At 57.2% G+C, this 16652-nt stretch overlaps 2 protein-coding genes across 6 annotated transcripts in view, besides 16 other annotated features; one reads left to right on the plus strand and one right to left on the minus strand.

Annotated features, from left to right (window-relative positions):
* Window positions 1-12767, minus strand: part of MOB3A (MOB kinase activator 3A) — a 25480-nt gene extending 12713 nt beyond the window's left edge. Inside the window, exons 1-2 of one of the 3 annotated variants that reach the window (XM_011527683.4) lie at window positions 12633-12767; window positions 1427-1580 (exon numbers count right to left, since the gene is read on the minus strand). The gene's annotated coding sequence lies outside the window, so the exon portion shown is untranslated. Of the gene's footprint in view, window positions 1-1426; window positions 1581-11492; window positions 12579-12632 lie in introns of those variants that run through there. The other 2 variants (NM_130807.3, XM_047438169.1) reach the window with 2 other exon arrangements.
* Window positions 12-81: an enhancer, noted in NCBI's record as "active region_13648". NCBI's record gives its function as "activates an Ori minimal core promoter by ATAC-STARR-seq in GM12878 lymphoblastoid cells {active_cell/tissue: GM12878}" and the evidence as "EXISTENCE:reporter gene assay evidence [ECO:0000049][PMID:35858748]".
* Window positions 1542-1641: an enhancer, noted in NCBI's record as "active region_13649". NCBI's record gives its function as "activates an Ori minimal core promoter by ATAC-STARR-seq in GM12878 lymphoblastoid cells {active_cell/tissue: GM12878}" and the evidence as "EXISTENCE:reporter gene assay evidence [ECO:0000049][PMID:35858748]".
* Window positions 1542-2309: a biological region, named in NCBI's record as "H3K27ac-H3K4me1 hESC enhancer GRCh37_chr19:2085331-2086056".
* Window positions 1584-2309: an enhancer, noted in NCBI's record as "H3K27ac-H3K4me1 hESC enhancer chr19:2085331-2086056 (GRCh37/hg19 assembly coordinates)". NCBI's record gives its function as "activates a minimal SCP1, AML or CMV promoter by ChIP-STARR-seq in naive H9 embryonic stem cells {active_cell/tissue: H9 hESC(naive)}" and the evidence as "EXISTENCE:reporter gene assay evidence [ECO:0000049][PMID:30033119]".
* Window positions 3202-3441: an enhancer, noted in NCBI's record as "active region_13650". NCBI's record gives its function as "activates an Ori minimal core promoter by ATAC-STARR-seq in GM12878 lymphoblastoid cells {active_cell/tissue: GM12878}" and the evidence as "EXISTENCE:reporter gene assay evidence [ECO:0000049][PMID:35858748]".
* Window positions 4072-4201: an enhancer, noted in NCBI's record as "active region_13651". NCBI's record gives its function as "activates an Ori minimal core promoter by ATAC-STARR-seq in GM12878 lymphoblastoid cells {active_cell/tissue: GM12878}" and the evidence as "EXISTENCE:reporter gene assay evidence [ECO:0000049][PMID:35858748]".
* Window positions 5083-5142: an enhancer, noted in NCBI's record as "active region_13652". NCBI's record gives its function as "activates an Ori minimal core promoter by ATAC-STARR-seq in GM12878 lymphoblastoid cells {active_cell/tissue: GM12878}" and the evidence as "EXISTENCE:reporter gene assay evidence [ECO:0000049][PMID:35858748]".
* Window positions 5322-6284: an enhancer, noted in NCBI's record as "H3K27ac-H3K4me1 hESC enhancer chr19:2089069-2090031 (GRCh37/hg19 assembly coordinates)". NCBI's record gives its function as "activates a minimal SCP1, AML or CMV promoter by ChIP-STARR-seq in naive H9 embryonic stem cells {active_cell/tissue: H9 hESC(naive)}" and the evidence as "EXISTENCE:reporter gene assay evidence [ECO:0000049][PMID:30033119]".
* Window positions 5503-5762: an enhancer, noted in NCBI's record as "active region_13653". NCBI's record gives its function as "activates an Ori minimal core promoter by ATAC-STARR-seq in GM12878 lymphoblastoid cells {active_cell/tissue: GM12878}" and the evidence as "EXISTENCE:reporter gene assay evidence [ECO:0000049][PMID:35858748]".
* Window positions 6833-6882: an enhancer, noted in NCBI's record as "active region_13654". NCBI's record gives its function as "activates an Ori minimal core promoter by ATAC-STARR-seq in GM12878 lymphoblastoid cells {active_cell/tissue: GM12878}" and the evidence as "EXISTENCE:reporter gene assay evidence [ECO:0000049][PMID:35858748]".
* Window positions 11079-11158: an enhancer, noted in NCBI's record as "active region_13655". NCBI's record gives its function as "activates an Ori minimal core promoter by ATAC-STARR-seq in GM12878 lymphoblastoid cells {active_cell/tissue: GM12878}" and the evidence as "EXISTENCE:reporter gene assay evidence [ECO:0000049][PMID:35858748]".
* Window positions 12459-13118: a silencer, noted in NCBI's record as "silent region_9766". NCBI's record gives its function as "represses an Ori minimal core promoter by ATAC-STARR-seq in GM12878 lymphoblastoid cells {active_cell/tissue: GM12878}" and the evidence as "EXISTENCE:reporter gene assay evidence [ECO:0000049][PMID:35858748]".
* Window positions 12459-13211: a biological region, named in NCBI's record as "H3K27ac-H3K4me1 hESC enhancer GRCh37_chr19:2096431-2096958".
* Window positions 12684-13211: an enhancer, noted in NCBI's record as "H3K27ac-H3K4me1 hESC enhancer chr19:2096431-2096958 (GRCh37/hg19 assembly coordinates)". NCBI's record gives its function as "activates a minimal SCP1, AML or CMV promoter by ChIP-STARR-seq in naive H9 embryonic stem cells {active_cell/tissue: H9 hESC(naive)}" and the evidence as "EXISTENCE:reporter gene assay evidence [ECO:0000049][PMID:30033119]".
* IZUMO4 (IZUMO family member 4) lies at window positions 13167-15842 on the plus strand. Of its 3 annotated transcripts, NM_001039846.2 has the most exons (10): window positions 13167-13414; window positions 13504-13584; window positions 13676-13747; window positions 14181-14207; window positions 14304-14379; window positions 14539-14586; window positions 14688-14702; window positions 15039-15056; window positions 15228-15281; window positions 15507-15842. In NM_001039846.2, the coding sequence occupies exons 1-10, from the start codon at window positions 13198-13200 to the stop codon at window positions 15595-15597; spliced, it is 699 nt and encodes a 232-aa protein (NP_001034935.1). In that variant the 5' UTR covers window positions 13167-13197; the 3' UTR covers window positions 15598-15842. The 3 variants fall into 3 exon arrangements, with proteins under 3 accessions (NP_001034935.1, NP_001026905.2, NP_001350517.1); NM_001031735.3 differs by lacking the exon at window positions 15228-15281; NM_001363588.2 differs by lacking the exons at window positions 15039-15056; window positions 15228-15281.
* Window positions 13212-13737: an enhancer, noted in NCBI's record as "H3K27ac-H3K4me1 hESC enhancer chr19:2096959-2097484 (GRCh37/hg19 assembly coordinates)". NCBI's record gives its function as "activates a minimal SCP1, AML or CMV promoter by ChIP-STARR-seq in naive H9 embryonic stem cells {active_cell/tissue: H9 hESC(naive)}" and the evidence as "EXISTENCE:reporter gene assay evidence [ECO:0000049][PMID:30033119]".
* Window positions 13359-13528: an enhancer, noted in NCBI's record as "active region_13656". NCBI's record gives its function as "activates an Ori minimal core promoter by ATAC-STARR-seq in GM12878 lymphoblastoid cells {active_cell/tissue: GM12878}" and the evidence as "EXISTENCE:reporter gene assay evidence [ECO:0000049][PMID:35858748]".

Raw genomic sequence — 16652 nt, forward strand, 5'->3', positions numbered from 1 at the left:
GTTTGTTGATTTCAGGGCCTCCCATGCCAATTTGGGGGCTTAGCTTCCAACCGTGCCACCTGGTTGGGCAGGCGGGGCCTTCCAGCAGTGGTATTGCAGCCCTGGGCTGACTGCAGCCATGGGAGGAGACCCCCTACCTGGGCTGAGCCTCAGGGAGAAAGCGGCTGTTCCCACAGGCCCCCGCTTGTCTTTTTAAAACTTTTTGTAGAGATAGGGTCTCACTACATTGCCCAGGCTGGTCTTGAACTCCTGGTCTCAAGTGATCCTCCTACGTCAGCTTCCCAAAGTGCTGGGATTACAGGCGTGAGCCACCGTGCCTGGCTGAGGCTTATCTTTGTCTATATCCTTTTAAGCTTGTCTACCAGACTCACACCAAGACAGTTCCAGAAAACAAGACAGGGCAGCCCGAGGAGCTTGTAAACTTCCTCTTGGCATGTCTGTCTCCTTTCAGAAGGTGAGGGGTGCCAGGCGAGGTGGCTCATGCCTGTAATCCCTGCACTTTGGGAGGCCGAGGTGGGTGGATCACTTGAGGTCAGGAGTTCGAGACCAGCCTGGCCAACATGGTGAAACCCTATCTCCACTAAAAATACAAAAAACTAGCCGGGTGTGGTGGCATGTGCCTATAATCCCAGCTACTCAGGAGGCTGAGGCAGGAGAATCGCTTGAACCCAGGGAGGCGGAGGCTACAGTGAGCTGAGATCACGCCACTGCACTCCAGCCCTGGTGACAGAGTGAGACTCCGTCACAAAAAGAAAAAGGTGCAGGATTTTCAGTGGAAGTTAACATCTTCTGAAGAACCTTGTGGACTGGCAGAGTTCCCGTCACAGCAGACGGTTTTTTTTTTCCTTTTTATTTTTTTTGAGACAGGATCTTACTCTGTCGCCCAGGCTGGAGTGCAGTGGCATGATCTTGGCTCACTGCAAACTCTGCCTCCCAGGTTCAAGCAATTCTCCTGTCTCAGCCTCCTGAGTAGCTGGGACTACAGGCGCCCGCCACCACACCCAGCTAATTTTTGTACTTTTAGTAGAGATGGCGTTTCACCATGCTGGCCAGGCTGGTCTCAAACTCTTTACCTCGTGATCTGCCCGCTTTGCCCTCCCAAAGTGCTGGGATTACAGGCGTGAGCCACCGTGCCCGGCCTAGTTTTTTTTTTATTTAGAGACAGGGGTTTCACCATGTTGCCTAGGCTGCTCTCCAATTCCTGGCCTCACGCAATCCTCCCACCTCAGCCTCCCAAAGTGCTGGGATTACAGACGTGAGCCACCATGTCCGGCCCGAGCAAAGCGTTTTCTATCAGGAACAAACACAGGCTCCTTGGCGGAGGGGTGATTGGCCACAGAAAGGGGTCTTTTCCAAAGAAAGGCCGGGGTGGCCTCGGGACCCTGACTCCCGCCCTCGTTGTCCCCTGAGGCCGGGGGCAGGTTACCGTGTCTGGGGCTCCCTCCGCTCTGCTCTTCTCGGATTCCTCCAGGAACAGTGGAGAAGACAAGGCAGGAATCAGCTCTCAGAATTCCACACCAAGGCCTTCTGGGCTCCCCCGGTCTTCCCACGGACGAGACACAAGTGACCCTTGGAAACTTCTAGAGAAATGAAAGGTGAAATGACAAATTCCCCTGCTGCAACACTTTTTTTTTTTTTTTTTTTGAACAACACAGTTTCTCTAAGCAACCAACTGGTATGACCCCTCCCCCACCGAGGTGTAGCAGCTCACGGACCACAGTCACCCACTTCCTTCCGGAGGTTTCCACATCCTGCCACTGCCTCGGGGACCGCTGCCCCAGAGCACGGGAGGCGCCTGAGAGACAAGCCCTGAGTGGAGAAGTCAGTTCCATATGTTCTAGGTCAGTGCACAACACTGGCTCCCGGCCTGGCAGCCCAGCCCTCATACTTGGCTGGAAGATGCTCCCAGCCCAGAATCTGTCCTGCTAAAAAAGGCGCTGGGCGCGGTGGCTCACGCCTGTAATCCCAGCACTCTGGGAGGCCGAGGTGGGCGGATCACAAGATCAGGAGATCAAGACCATCCTGGCTAACTCGGTGAAACTCGTCTCTACTAAAAATACAAAAAAATAGCCGGGCGTAGTGGTGGGCACCTGTAGTCCCAGCTACTTGGGAGGCTGAGGCAGGAGAATGGCCTGAACCCGGGAGGCAGAGCTTGCAGTGAGCGGAGATTGTGCCACTGCACTCCAGCCTGGGCGACAGAGCAAGACTCTGTCTCAAAAAAAAAAAAAAAAAAAAAAAGGCAGCATCCCGGAGCCACCTTCCAAAATCTGAGTATTTATTTATTTTTACTTTCATTTATTTATTTTTTTGAGACGGAGTTTTGCTCTTGTTGCCCAGGCTGGAGTGCAGTGGTACGATCTCAGCTCACTACAACCTCTGTCTCCCAGGTTCAAGCGATTCTCCTGCCTCAGCCTCCCAAGTAACAGGGACTACAGGTGCCCGCTACAACGCCCGACTAATTTTGTATTTTTAGTAGAGGTGGGGTTTCGCCATGTTGGCCAGGCTGGTCTCGAACTCCTGACCTCAAGTGATCTGCCCACCTCGGCCTCCCAAAGTGCTGGGATTACAGGCGTGAACCATAACGCCCAGCCTCTGAGTGTTTATTTTTACTTTTTTATTTTTATTTTTTTGAGGTGAAGTGTTGCTCTGTCACCCAGGCTGGAGTGCAGTGGCGTGATCTCGGCTCACTGCAACCTCTGCCTCCTGGGTTCAAGCGATTCTCCTGGTCAGCCTCCTGTATAGCTGGGATTACAGACACACGCCACCATGCCTGCCTAATTTTTGTATTTTTAGGAGAAACTGTTCCACCATGTTGGCCAGGCTGGTCTCAAACTCCTGACCTCAGGTGATCTGCCCACCTCGGCCTCCCAAAGTGCTGGGATTACAGGCGTGAGCCAGCATGCCTGGCCTGAGGGTTTACTTTTAAACGTTACAACTGCTCCTGGTGCTGGTAGGCCACCCTCACTCCTGCTGGAGGATGGCTGCGTCTTCCCTGATCACCCAGGCGTGCATCCTGTCACTGTTTTGTGCTTTTGTCTGGTTTACATTTTTGTTTTTTTTAGAGACAGGGTCTTGCTCTGTTGCCCAGGCTGGAGTGCAGTAGTGCAATCACAGCTCACTGCAGCCTTGACCTCCCGGGCTCAAGTGATCCTCCCACCTCAGCCTCTTGAGTAGCTGGGACTACAGGCACACAACACCACACCTGTATAATTTTTGTATTTTTGTAGAGATGGGGTCTTGCTATGTTGTCCAGGCTGGTCTTGAGCTTCTGGAGTCAAGCGATCTTCCCACCTCAGCCACCCAAAGTGCAGGGATTACAGGTGTGAGCCACTGTGCCTACTGCATCTCTGACTTCTCTCGTGGGAAAGCAGACAGGCAGGAAGCAAGGCCTGCCCAGGCCCCTCTGGGCCAGGTGCTATCGAGGGCTTAGCATACTGTCCTAATTCTCCTGATAGTCTTTTCTTCTGTTTTTAGATTGACATATGACTCACATCCCACACGTTTTAACCTTTTCAGTTACAGTTCAGGAGTACAGTTACGTGACTCCTGGCACGTTTGGCGTTGCGCAAACACCACCTTTATCTAATTCCAGAACACTTTCCTCACCCCTAAAAGAAGCCCTGGCCAGCTGCAGTGGCTCACGCCTGTAATCCTGGCACTTTGGGAGGCCAAGGCAGGAGGACTGCTTGAGGCCAGGAGCTCAAGACCAGCCTGGGCAACATAGTGAGACCCATCTCTGTACGAAATAGTTAAGAAATTAGCCAGGCATGGTGGATGTGCCTGTATAGTCCCAGCCACTTGGAGGCTGAGGTGGGAGGATTGCTTGAGCCCAGGAGATCAAGGCTGCAGTGAGCTATGATTGTGCCACTGCACTGCAGCCTGGGGGACAAAGTAAGACCCTGTCTCAAAACAAAGCTAAGATCGTGTCACCTAGGGGACAGTTACAGTGATGAGACGTCACGGACACCTGTGGTGCCTGCTTCAGAGGACTCAGCCCAAAGTTTCAAGAGACAAGAGACCAAGTGTCAGAAAGAGGAAGCCACAGGGAGGAACGCCCCAAGCTACCATCCCAACCCAGGGCCACACTCCTTTCACGGAACTTTTTCCTAACCCAGGGCCGCAGGATCTGGGCTTGACTGGGCACCACCGACTTGGCACCGCCTTCTTGGCCTCCTGGATGGCTTCAGTCTGAACGTGGGGGCAGGAGCCATGCTCTGAGCCCGCCCAGTGGGAGCCAGGGGCCCACCCCAGTCTCGCCTCCTCGTGGCCACTGTGAAGAGCTCTCAGCCACACTCAGCTGCAGTGGGGGTCTCACCTGGGGGGCGATTCTGCACCCCGGGGACTCATACTGGGTGATGTCTGGGGGCATTTGTGGTTGTCATAACTGGAGGATGCTCCTGGCACAGAGTGGGTGGTGGCCAGGGATGCTGCCCAGTGCCCTGCAGTGCCCAGGATACCCCACCCCAGAGACTAATCAGCCTTGAATGTCCACAGTGCCGAGGGGGACAAAGCTTGTCCTGCGAGTGGCAAGGCCGGGGATCTAACTGTTCTTGTTTGCTTTATTTTATTTTTTGAGACAAAGTCTTGCTCTGTCATCCAGGCTGGAGTGCAGTGGCACAATCACAGCCCACTCCAGCCTCAACCTCCGGGGCTCAAGCAATCCTCCCACCTCAGCCTCCTGCGTAGCTGGGACTCCTGGCGTGCGTCCAGATAATTTTTCTATTTTTTTTCTTTTTTGAGATGGGGTCCCGCTGTGTTGCCCAGGTTGGAGTGCAGTGGTGCGATCTTGGCTCACTGCAACCTCCGCCTCACGGGTTCAAGGATTCTTCTGCCTCAGCCTCCTGAGTAGCTGGGACTACAGGTGCGCACCACCACACCCAGCTAATTTTTTTTGTATTTTTAGTAGAGACAGGGTTTCACCATATTGGCCAGGCTGGTCTCCAACTCCTGACCTCATGATCCGCCCGCCTCGACCTCCCAAAGTGCTGGGATTACAGGCATGAGCCACCACACCCGGCAATTTTTGTATTTTTTGTAGAGACGGGGGTCTTGCTATGTTGTCCAGGCTGGTCTTAAACTCCTGACCTCGAGCAGTCCTCCCACCTTGGCCTCCCAAAGTGCTGGGATTATAGACATGAGCCACGGAGCCTGGCTCTGTCTCCCTCTTTAATGAGTAATTTTTACAAATTGCCAACCTCACCACTAGTTAGTACACAGTGACTGTAGTTGTCAGAGGCTCAAACGTGTATCTGGCCATCCGTGTTTCTCCTGCTTTCTGGGGAGCACTTCCCTACGCACTCATAAACTAACCCTACAGGGGTTCATGCCGCAGCCCTGTGAGGCTGGCAGGGCAGGCTGAAAGCGAATGCTCTCATTCCTGCTAAGTGATGGTGGACCTTTGCTGTCATTAGTAAACAGGCCTGGCATTTGCTGGGGCCCTGGAGGACCTGCTCTCGTGAAACTCATCATTTCCTGGCTGGCGGGAGGGGCTCACCCGTGCTGCACGTCCAGAAGCTGAGGCCAGTTGCCTCGCCTGAGGGTGGGAGGTAAAAGGTACAAGTCTGGGCTTGAACTCAGATCCTTCAATTCTGAATCTGCTGCGTCTGCCACTAGGGCAGCGTTTCCACTCTCTGCACTGTGGACATCGGCGTGGGTCACTCTCTGGGGAGGGGCCATCCTGGGCACTGCAGGGTGCTGAGCAGCGTCCCTGGCCTCCACCCACTCCATGCCAGGAGCACCCCCAGTCATGAGAAAAACACAAATGTCCCAGACTTGGCCCAGTGTCCCCTGGGGGCAGAATTACCCTCAATTGACACCTCTTGGGTTAGGGGATTCCACGGACCCCCAAGAGACTCCGTGGCCCATGATCCTCTGCTCTGCTGAGGTCCCAGGAGGCTACACACATTGAAATCCACAGAGGGGGAGAGGAAGAGAATCCCAGGAGCTGAGGTCCCCTGGTTTACACCGTCTGCCATATTGGGAGTTTATTCTGGTGTCTGGTGTGAGCAGGGAGCAGACTTGATTTTTTTTTCCCAAATAACTAATGCAGTCCCCCACTTGGCATTCAGGGCTGGATCCTTCTCTGGGTGAGTTTGTCCTGGGCACTGCAGGTGCTGAGCAATGTCCCTGGCCTCCACCCACTCCATGCCAGGGGCAGCCCCTCCTCTAGTTGTGACAAACACAAATGCACCCCCCGCACTGCCCCGTATTTCCAAGTCCCCTGGGGGCAAAACTGCCCTGGGGCAAGACCTCAGCTAGATTGGCAGCTTCCCCTCTGATCTAATCTACCAGGGACTCCACTGAGGGGATTCTGGGGGCCCCGATACCCGATCCATCTTAGCCCAGCCAAGTCCGCATCCCCAGAGCTCCGCAGCTGCCAGGCGCTTCTGAAACCAGCATCTGCAGCCCGGCAGAGCTGGCATGGTGACTCAGGCTGCCTTGGTTCTCCAGGGCACGTAGGGTGCGACTCCCCACCCAGGTGTCCCAGCTCAGCCCATCCCTTTGTCCCCGGTGGGAATTGTCTGTGCTTGGAGTGGCTCACACCCCCGACCACTTCCTTTTTCTTCTCATTTGCCTCGTGGCCCAGAGGATGTTGGCGGGCTGAGTCAGGGATAGACCACCCTGCCCCCTGCCCCCACAGGCCTGAACACGGTGAAGATTCTGCCCCTCAACACCGGACGATGTCTGGGGACATCTGTGGTTGTCAGGTTTTGGGGGAACTCCTGGCATGGAGTGGGTGGAGGCCAGGAACGCTACTCAGCACCCTGCAGTGCCCAGGACACTCCACCCCAGAGAATGACTCAATACCCAGGGGGAGACCCTGGCCCCAGCCCCACACAGGAAGTAACAACTTCCTCCTTCCCTGTGGGACTTATGGTCAATGAAATACGACATTAAACATAGCAATGATACAAATACGTTATTTTTTTTTTTAAGACGGAGTCTCGCTCTGTTGCCCAGGCTGGAGTGCAGTGGCGCGATCTCGTCTCACTGCAACCTCCGCCTACTGGGTTCACGCCATTCTCCTGCCTCAGCCTCCCGAGTAGCTGGGATTACAGCTGCCTGCAACCGTGCTCAGCTAATTTTTGAATTTTTAGTAGAGACGGGGTTTCACCGTGTTAGTCAGGATGGTCTCGATCTCCTGACCTCGTGATCCGCCCACCTTGGCCTCCCAAAGTGTTGGGATTACAGGCGTGAGCCACCGCGCCCGGCCAAAATACGTGCATTATTTTAACACACTTTTAAAACTAATAAGCTGAATATAAAGCTCTGCATTAAAGCCAGAAGACCTAAGAGAAAACCCACAACCTGTGGGGAAGAAAAGGGAGGGAAACCTCCGTGAAACTGACCCCTGCAGTAAGTAACCCTACAACCAAGATTCCAGTGCCGGCTGCTGGCCAGATCAGGGGAACACGCGCTTCCTGCAGAGTCATTCCCAAGCCCATCTGGCTGGAAAGAAAAGCCTTAAACTTGAGCCAAAACCTCTCAACCCAGAGGAGACTTCTCATCCTTGTGTAACCCAGGACGGCCCGGCCACACAGTTTTAAGAAGAATGAGACACAGGCTCTGACACGGAAGGACACCCAATATCCGATAAGTGCAAAAAATAAGTTGCAAAACAGTATGGATACCCAGACCTTTTTTTCTTTTTTGGAGACCGAGTCTTGCTCTGTCACCCAGGCTGGAGTGCAGTGGCGCAATCTCGGCTCACTGCAAGCTCTGCCTCCCGGGCTCAAGCAATTCTCCTGCCTCAGCCTCCCAAGTAGCTGGGATTACAGGCGCCCGCCACTACGCCCAGCTAATTTTTGTATTTTTGGTAGAGACGGGGTTCCACCATGTTGGCCAGGCTGGTCTCAAACTCCTGACCTCAAGTGATCCACCCACCTCGGCCTCCCAAAGTGCTGGGATTACAGGCGTGAGCTACTGCGCCCAGGCTCTAAGACCTTTTTTGTTAAAGAAGGAATAAAAGCCGGGGTGCGGTGGCTCATGCCTGTAATCCCAGCACTTTGGGAGGCCAAGGCAGGTGGATCACAAGGTCAGGAGTTTGAGACTGGCCTGGCCGAGATGGTGAAACCCTGTCTCTACTAAAAATACAAAAATTAGCCAGGCGTGGTGGCGGGCGCCTGTAATCCCAGCTATTCAGGAGGCTGAGACAGGAGAATCGCTTGAACCTGGGAGGCGGAGGTTGCAGTGAGCCGAGATTGTGCCACTGCACTCCAGCCTGGGCGACGAGCAAAACTCTGTCTGTAACAGAAAAAAAAAAGAGAAAGAAAGAATAATAAATTGCTACAACCATGAAAAAAAATAAGGAACTATTGTGTCTGGAAGGAAAGGTTTTTTTTTTTTTTTTTTTTAGCTGCCTGTTTGTTTGAGATGAGGTTTCGCTCTATCCCCCAGGCTGGAGTGCAGTGGTGCAATCACGGCTCACTGCAGCCTCAACCTCCTGGGCTCAAATGACCCTCCCACCTCAGCCTCTCAAGTAGCTGGGACCACAGGTGCACGCCACCACGCCCAGCTAACTTTTGTATTTTTGGTAGAGATGGGGTCTTACTATGTTGCCCAGGCTGGTCTCAAACTCCTGGGTTCAAGCTATCCTTCTGCCTTGGCCTCCCAGAGTGCTGGGATCACAGGCATGAGCCATAGCGCCCGACCCTCTGTGAATCTTTGTGGTAAACTGACATACTTTTCCCAGTCTGGGTATATAAGGAAAAAAACAGTCATTTTGATATACTCAAAAGGAAAAGGGGGTGAGGCGCGGTGGCTTACGCCTGTAATCCCAGCACTTTGGGAGGCTGAGGCAGGCAGACTGCCTGAGCTGGGCAACATGGTGAAATCCAGTCTCTACTAAAACACCAAAAAATTAGCCGGGCGTGGTGGCGCATGCCTGTAATCCCAGCTACTCAGGAGGCTGAGGCACGAGAATCTCTTGAGCTCAGGAGGCGGAGGCTGCAGTGGGCCCTGGTTGCGCCACTGCACTCCAGCCTGGGCAAGAGAAACTCCATCTCAAAAAAAAAAAAAAAAAAAAAAAGGAAAAGGGAAGAGGCCAGGCATGGTCCCCAGAAGGTATTGTGTCAAAGTCTGAAAGAAAACCCAAGTTCAGCTTTCTTTTGTGTGCAGCCAGGCACACGCTGGACCACAGCCACCCACTGTGTGTTCCAGAGACTTCTCTGGGACTCCGAAAGGCAGAAGTGAAGGCCTCCTCCCAGAATCCCGTTTCTGAAGTCGGATTTACCTTTTCGGCTTAAGCCATTTGACCTTCTAAATGCCAGGAAAACAGGAACAGAGCTCATCGGCTGGGGAAGGTCTAAAACTCCCCACCTTAAAACCCCAAGCTCAGTCAGCTGTGTGGGGAATTTTTCTGAAACCTCCACCATCAGGTCCCTAAGGTGGGAGGATACCTCCTTGGAAGGGAATTTTTTTTTTTTTCGAGACGTTGTCTTACTCTGTTGCCCAGGCTGGAGTGCAGTGGCGTGATCTTGGCTCACTGCAAGCTCCGCCTCCCGGGTTCAAGTGATTCTCCTGCCTCAGCCTCCTGAGTAGCTGGGACTACAGGCACGCGCCAGCATGCCCGGGTAAATTTTGTATTCCTCAGCCGATGAGCTCTGTTCCTGTCTTCCTGGCATTTAGAAGGTCAAATGGCTTAAGCTGAAAAGGCAAATCCGACTTCAGAAACGGGATTCTGGGAGGAGGCCTTCACTTCTGCCTTTCGGAATCCCAGAGAAGTCTCTGGAACACACAGTGGGTGGCTGTGGTCCAGCGTGTGCCTGGCTGTGTATTTAGTAGAGATGGGGTTTTGCCATGTTGGCCAGGCTGGTCTTGAATGCCTGACCTCAGGTGATCTGCTCTCCTCGGCCTCCCAAAGTGCTGGGATTACAGGTATGAGCCACCCGCACCTGGCCAGCACATCCCAATTCGGACCAGCCACATTGCAAGGCCTCCACAGCCACAGGTAGTAAGCTCAGCTCCAGAGTTAAAAGAGAAAAATCAACCTGTGGAAAGAGAGGGAGCTGGGAAGGGTGCAGTGGAACGGGTGTTGCTTGAGGTGGGTGCCTGTGTCGTCCCTGGGGAAAGGGAAACACATCCAGGGGGTCCGGAGGACAGGGACGTGACATGCTGGGATTTCACTTTCTTAGTTCTCACTCTGTAATCGGTAGATCTCAGTGAGTTCTAATAAACAGGTCCCTGACAACTGCGGTTAAGAACCCGGCTTCTGGAAGTTCTCAGGGCTGCAACTCTGCAACTCTGACAGCCCGGGGGGCTCATCCAGCCCTCCTTCCTTCCCTATGTAAGTTCTTTTTTTTTTTTTTTTTTTTTTTGAGACAGAGTCTCACTCTGTCGCCCAGGCTGGAGTGCAGTGGTGCGATCTCGGCTCACTGCAGGCTTCGCCTCCAGGGTTCATGCCATTCTCTTGCCTCAGCCTCCCGAGTAGCTGGGACTACGGGCACCCGCCGCCACGCCCGGCTAATTTTTTTGTCTTTTTAGTAGAGACGGGGTTTCACTGTGTTAGCCAGTATGGTCTCGATCTCCTGACCTCGTGATCCACCCGCCTCAGCCTCCCAAAGTGTTGGGATCACAGGCACGAACGACTGCGCCGGGCCACCCTCTTGCACTTCTGAAACAACCAGCAAACCAACCAACCGAACAAATAAACATCCAGCTTCCCCTACATGAAAGCAAGACCAGGCCTGGAAAGGAAGTGAATCCAGGAGAACAGAAACGGAAGGTGGGTTTTGTCTCACGGGTCAAAACCTAGATCATCCCACACACGCAGGGAAATGAATGACTAGTTCCTCAAGGCATCACTGTGGGCTCTGACGGCTCCAGCCTTCAGCAGCTCCTCAGCTCTGCGTCCCAGCGCCTCTTCCGTAAAAGGGAAGCCCCTGTGACTGCGTGATGCACAAGAAGGAAGGCGGTCTTGGGACCACGGCCTAGAGGGCGGCCAGGGCACTCCCCGCTGCCTATGCAGGAGGCAACTCCCAAAGCAGAAAGCACAGATGGGATGTGAAACACGCAAAACACAATGTCAACATTTATCCAACCATCTGCTTTGAATACGGGCAGTTTATTGCATGTCAATTAAACCCGTATAAACTGTTAAGGAGAAAACGAAGAAAAAAGCAAGTGCGAAAAAAGCAGTGTGGGCCGGGCGCGGTGGCTCACGCCTGTAATCCCAGCACTTTGGGAGGCCGAGGCGGGCGGATCACCTGAGGTCAGGAGCTCAAGACCAGCCTGGCCAACATGGCGAAACTCCGTCTCTACTAAAAGTACAAAAATTAACTGGGTGTGGTGGTTGGCGCCTGTAATCCCAGCTACTCAGGAGGCTGAGGCAGGAGGATCACTTGCACCCGGGAGGCAGAGTTTGCAGTGAGCAGAGATCGCGCCACTGCTCTCCAGCCTGGGCGTGAGTGAGACTCCAAACTCCGTCTCAAAAACAAACAAACAAACAAACAAACAAACAAAAAAACAGTGTGTACAAAGACTGGAAATCTTACCCCCAGGATGAGCTGCGGCTTGGAGCACTGATTTTCTGCTCTGTGACTGCATTTTCCAATTTCCCCTCCCCTCTCAGTGACTCCTAATAAAATGCACCCTCGCTTACACTTTCTAGCCCCTCTTCGCTGCAGGGAGGAGGGGCAGCTTGTCCCTGGCGGGCGCCTCCTTCCGGGGTGGGGGGGCCCTGCCAGCGACTTTGGGGACCCCGAGCAAGAAGGGCCTATTCGAAAGGGCCCGACCGCCGCGTTGGCTTGGGGATCCTGAAGCCCTGCAGAATTTTAATCCACACCGGGAGGTGCGGGGTCCTGCGGGAGGGCAGCGGGCAGGGCCAGGAGTTCACCCCCGCAGCTCGACCCCGCACCCTGTATCCCCCTCCGGGGTAATCGGTCTCCCCGCCGCCCGCGTTCGCCCCTCCTGGGGGATCGGCCTCCTCGCCGCCTAAGTTCACCCCTCCTGAAGGATCCGGCTTCCCTGCCGCCTGAGTTCGCCCTTCCTTTTTTCTTTTTTCTTTTGTTCTTTTTTTTTTTTCCCCCGCTCTGGTTGCCCAGGCTGGAGTGCAGTGATGTGATCTCGGCTCACTGCAACCTCTGCCTCCTGGGTTCAAGTGATTCTCCTGCCTCAGCCTCCTCAGCAGCTGGGATTACAGGTGCGCGCCACCTCGTCCGGCTAATTTTGTATTTTTGGTACAGACGGGGTTTCACCATGTTGGCCAGACTGGTCTCGAACTCCCGACCTCAGGTGATCCACCCGCGTCGGCCTCCCAAAGTGCTGGGATTACAGGCGTGAGCCACCGCGCCCGGCCTCGCCCTTCCTGAAGGCTCGGCCTCCCCGTAGCCTAAGTTCGCCCGTCTGAGGGATCCAGCTTCCCCGCCGCCAGGGTTCGCCCTTCCTGAGAACTCGGTCTCCTCGCCGCCTAAGTTCACCCCTCCCGGGCACCCACCTGGCCGCCTCTGCCGCCCGCCTTCGCCCCTCCCGGACACCCACCTGATCGCCTCTGCCGCCCGCCTTCGCCCCTCCCGGTACCCAACTGGCCGCCTCGGCCGCCTCAGCCGCCGCACCGCCTCGCAGCCGCCGCGGAGGGACACGGCCGCGGGAACGCCCCACACGCATGCCCGACCGCACCCGCGGACCGGACCTACTTTCCTTAAAGGGCCCGGGGCTCCGCGCAGAAGCGGCGTGCAGGGGTCTCCCAGACTCGGTCCCGCGGGCTTTAAGGGGCCCGGGCGGCGAAGGCGCACGGAGCCAAGTTCCGGGCAGCAGCCCTGGGATGCCCTGAGCCGGGCCGGGCGGAGGTCTCCGTTGCCTAGCAACCGGGGCCGCGGCCTGTGGGCGGAGCCTGCACCGTGGCTGCGACACGGGGCGGGGCCTCAGCGGGAGCCGGCCGAGGAGCGGGCACCGGCCATTGGCACAGGCACGGGCCATTGGCGCATGCGTAGGGCGCGGCCTTGGGGCGGGGCCCACCCAGTGGCGGAGTCTTCTGAGGGGCGGGTCGTGGGCGGGGCCTGGAGGCGGAGCCGGCGCCGTCAGTAGTCGGCTGAGGACGGAGGCGGGGCTGGGCCTGGGATGGGGCGGGGCCTGCGCTGGTGGGGCGGGCGGGGGAGGAGACACGGCCAAGCGCCCGAGTGGGGGCCGTTGGTTGGTGCGCGGCTGAAGGGTGTGGCGCGAGCAGCGTCGTTGGTTGGCCGGCGGCGGGCCGGGACGGGCATGGCCCTGCTGCTGTGCCTGGTGTGCCTGACGGCGGCGCTGGCCCACGGCTGTCTGCACTGCCACAGCAACTTCTCCAAGAAGTTCTCCTTCTACCGCCACCATGTGAACTTCAAGTCCTGGTGGGTGGGCGACATCCCCGTGTCAGGGGCGCTGCTCACCGACTGGAGCGACGACACGATGAAGGAGCTGCACCTGGCCATCCCCGCCAAGATCAGTGAGTGCCGGAGCCCAGCCCAGTCCCGACTACCCCGCCAGCGAGACCCCGGGGCAGGCCGGTCACCTGGCTTCTCCTCCTGCCCGCAGCCCGGGAGAAGCTGGACCAAGTGGCGACAGCAGTGTACCAGATGATGGATCAGCTGTACCAGGGGAAGATGTACTTCCCCGGTAAGGGGCGCGAAACCGAGGCGGGGCCCCCCCACCCCGGGACACCCCGCCCACCGCCTGAGCCTGACCTTCTCCTGCCTCGACGACTCAGGGTATTTCCCCAACGAGCTGCGAAACATCTTCCGGGAGCAGGTGCACCTCATCCAGAACGCCATCATCGAAAGTGAGCAAATAAGGCTTCAGAGGAGGGAGGTGTTGCCCAGAGCCTCGGAGACCCACGGGGCTTGGCTGAGGCTGGAGTGATGTGAACAGGGCACCTGGCACCAGGCAGCTGGGGAGGAGGGCAGCTCTCCAGGGAGGGACCCAGCCTAGCACCTGAAGGATCAATGCCATCACCCCGCGGGGACCTCCCCTAAGTAGCCCCCAGAGGCGCTGGGAGTGTTGCCACCGCCCTCCCCTGAAGTTTGCTCCATCTCACGCTGGGGGTCAACCTGGGGACCCCTTCCCTCCGGGCCATGGACACACATACATGAAAACCAGGTGAGCCTGGGCCCCAGTGCCGAGGGACAGGCCCTGAGGCTTTGGAGGGTTGGGAGGAGGCAGGACTGGGGACAAGGCTGGGCCTGGTAAGATGGCGCTGTCCTGCCCTCCCACAGGCCGCATCGACTGTCAGCACCGCTGTGGTAAGCAAGGCTCCGTCCAGGCTGAGGGGCGTGCCGGTGGCAGCTCGGGGCCCTGGAGGCTGAGGGGAGCCCTGGCGGCTCTTGTACGTGTTTCAGGCATCTTCCAGTACGAGACCATCTCCTGCAACAACTGCACAGACTCGCACGTCGCCTGCTTTGGCTATAACTGCGAGTAGGGCTCAGGCATCACACCCACCCGTGCCAGGGCCCTACTGTCCCTGGGGTCCCAGGCTCTCCTTGGAGGGGGCTCCCCGCCTTCCACCTGGCTGTCATCGGGTAGGGCGGGGCCGTGGGTTCAGGGGCGCACCACTTCCAAGCCTGTGTCCCACAGGTCCTCGGCGCAGTGGAAGTCAGCTGTCCAGGGCCTCCTGAACTACATGTGAGTGGGGTCTTTGGGTGGCAGCAAGCTCACCTGGGCCTGGGAGGGAACACTGGCCACGGCCACTCGGCCTCCTGAGTCCAAACCCACTGTCTTTGTAGAAATAACTGGCACAAGTAAGTCCCCTCCTCAAACCAACACAGGCAGTGTGTGTATGTGAGCACCTCGTGGGTGAGTATGTGTGGGGCACAGGCTGGCTCCCTCAGCTCCCACGTCCTAGAGGGGCTCCCGAGGAGGTGGAACCTCAACCCAGCTCTGCGCAGGAGGCGGCTGCAGTCCTTTTCTCCCTCAAAGGTCTCCGACCCTCAGCTGGAGGCGGGCATCTTTCCTAAAGGGTCCCCATAGGGTCTGGTTCCACCCCATCCCAGGTCTGTGGTCAGAGCCTGGGAGGGTTCCCTACGATGGTTAGGGGTGCCCCATGGAGGGGCTGACTGCCCCACATTGCCTTTCAGACAGGACACGAGCATGAGGTAAGGCCGCCCTGACCTGGACTTCAGGGGGAGGGGGTAAAGGGAGAGAGGAGGGGGGCTAGGGGGTCCTCTAGATCAGTGGGGGCACTGCAGGTGGGGCTCTCCCTATACCTGGGACACCTGCTGGATGTCACCTCTGCAACCACACCCATGTGGTGGTTTCATGAACAGACCACGCTCCTCTGCCTTCTCCTGGCCTGGGACACACAGAGCCACCCCGGCCTTGTGAGTGACCCAGAGAAGGGAGGCCTCGGGAGAAGGGGTGCTCGTAAGCCAACACCAGCGTGCCGCGGCCTGCACACCCTGCTGACATCCCAGGCACGAGGGTGTCGTGGATGTGGCCACACATAGGACCACACGTCCCAGCTGGGAGGAGAGGCCTGGGGCCCCCAGGGAGGGAGGCAGGGGGTGGGGGACATGGAGAGCTGAGGCAGCCTCGTCTCCCCGCAGCCTGGTATCGCCAGCCTTAAGGTGTCTGGAGCCCCCACACTTGGCCAACCTGACCTTGGAAGATGCTGCTGAGTGTCTCAAGCAGCACTGACAGCAGCTGGGCCTGCCCCAGGGCAACGTGGGGGCGGAGACTCAGCTGGACAGCCCCTGCCTGTCACTCTGGAGCTGGGCTGCTGCTGCCTCAGGACCCCCTCTCCGACCCCGGACAGAGCTGAGCTGGCCAGGGCCAGGAGGGCGGGAGGGAGGGAATGGGGGTGGGCTGTGCGCAGCATCAGCGCCTGGGCAGGTCCGCAGAGCTGCGGGATGTGATTAAAGTCCCTGATGTTTCTCTTTGCAGAAGAGTTCTTGTTGGGGCAGGGGGAAGCCTCTAGGGGCTGGAGGTGGGCTTCTGGGGAGGCCTAAAGGTCCCAGACAGAGCAGGGCAGGTCCTGGCCTTGGGTCCACAGCCATGAGGGACCGACTTGGAGCCACACTCACAGGGCCTCAGGGAGTGTCCCCGGACTCCTAGGTGTGGGGCCGTGGCCCACCTGAGCACACATGGGTAGGCTCACACAAGCCCACAGAGCACCTGGGTTCTTCCACCCAAAGCGAGGCCACAGTGTGGTTGAGACCAGGGCCAGCACTAGTGCGTTTAGGTGTTGCAGTCACTTACGTCAGACCCGAGCCAAGGAACGCAGGAACTATGGGCTGTCTCATCTGTGGCAGTGACAGGCGTGGCATCATGGCCAGAGTCGGGGCCACGACGGCCTGACTCTGGCTGATGGGGCCTGACACACAGGAGGGAGGGAGTCGTGTTCCATCTGTGCAGGGGCGCAGCTCCAAGTCCCATTCTCACTCGGGCGACCTCAGCCCGGCAGTCTCCTTGCTTCCTCGAGCGTCCCTTTGCTCCGGCATTGGGGCGGCTGCAGGACACCAGCAAGAACATCCTCGAGCACACTGTTGCTGCCACCATGGGTCCCACACACTGTCTTGTGGCCGCCTCAGGCTCCCGTCACGGGAGGGGTGCACGGGCACATTTGCTGAGGTCAGGAACGGCGTGTGGGAAGGTCACCGAGTGCCTCCCAGGCTCCCTGGGACATGGGAGCCACACGCATGTTGGGGGAGAATGTGGTAGTGGCCACTGGGGACAGTGTCAGGAGTGATGGC

The sequence above is a fragment of the Homo sapiens genome, chromosome 19 (assembly GCF_000001405.40).
Source record: "Homo sapiens chromosome 19, GRCh38.p14 Primary Assembly".
In the NCBI taxonomy this organism is placed as follows: Eukaryota; Metazoa; Chordata; class Mammalia; order Primates; family Hominidae; genus Homo; species Homo sapiens.

Bases quoted from the DNA above. Each gene is read 5' to 3' on its own strand.
- IZUMO4 (NM_001039846.2), top strand. From the start codon at position 13,198: ATGGCCCTGCTGCTGTGCCTGGTGTGCCTGACGGCGGCGCTGGCCCAC. The intron at 13,415-13,503 runs GTGAGTGCCGGA...TCCTGCCCGCAG, and splicing joins GGCCATCCCCGCCAAGATCA to CCCGGGAGAAGCTGGACCAA. The intron at 14,208-14,303 runs GTAAGCAAGGCT...TACGTGTTTCAG, and splicing joins CGACTGTCAGCACCGCTGTG to GCATCTTCCAGTACGAGACC.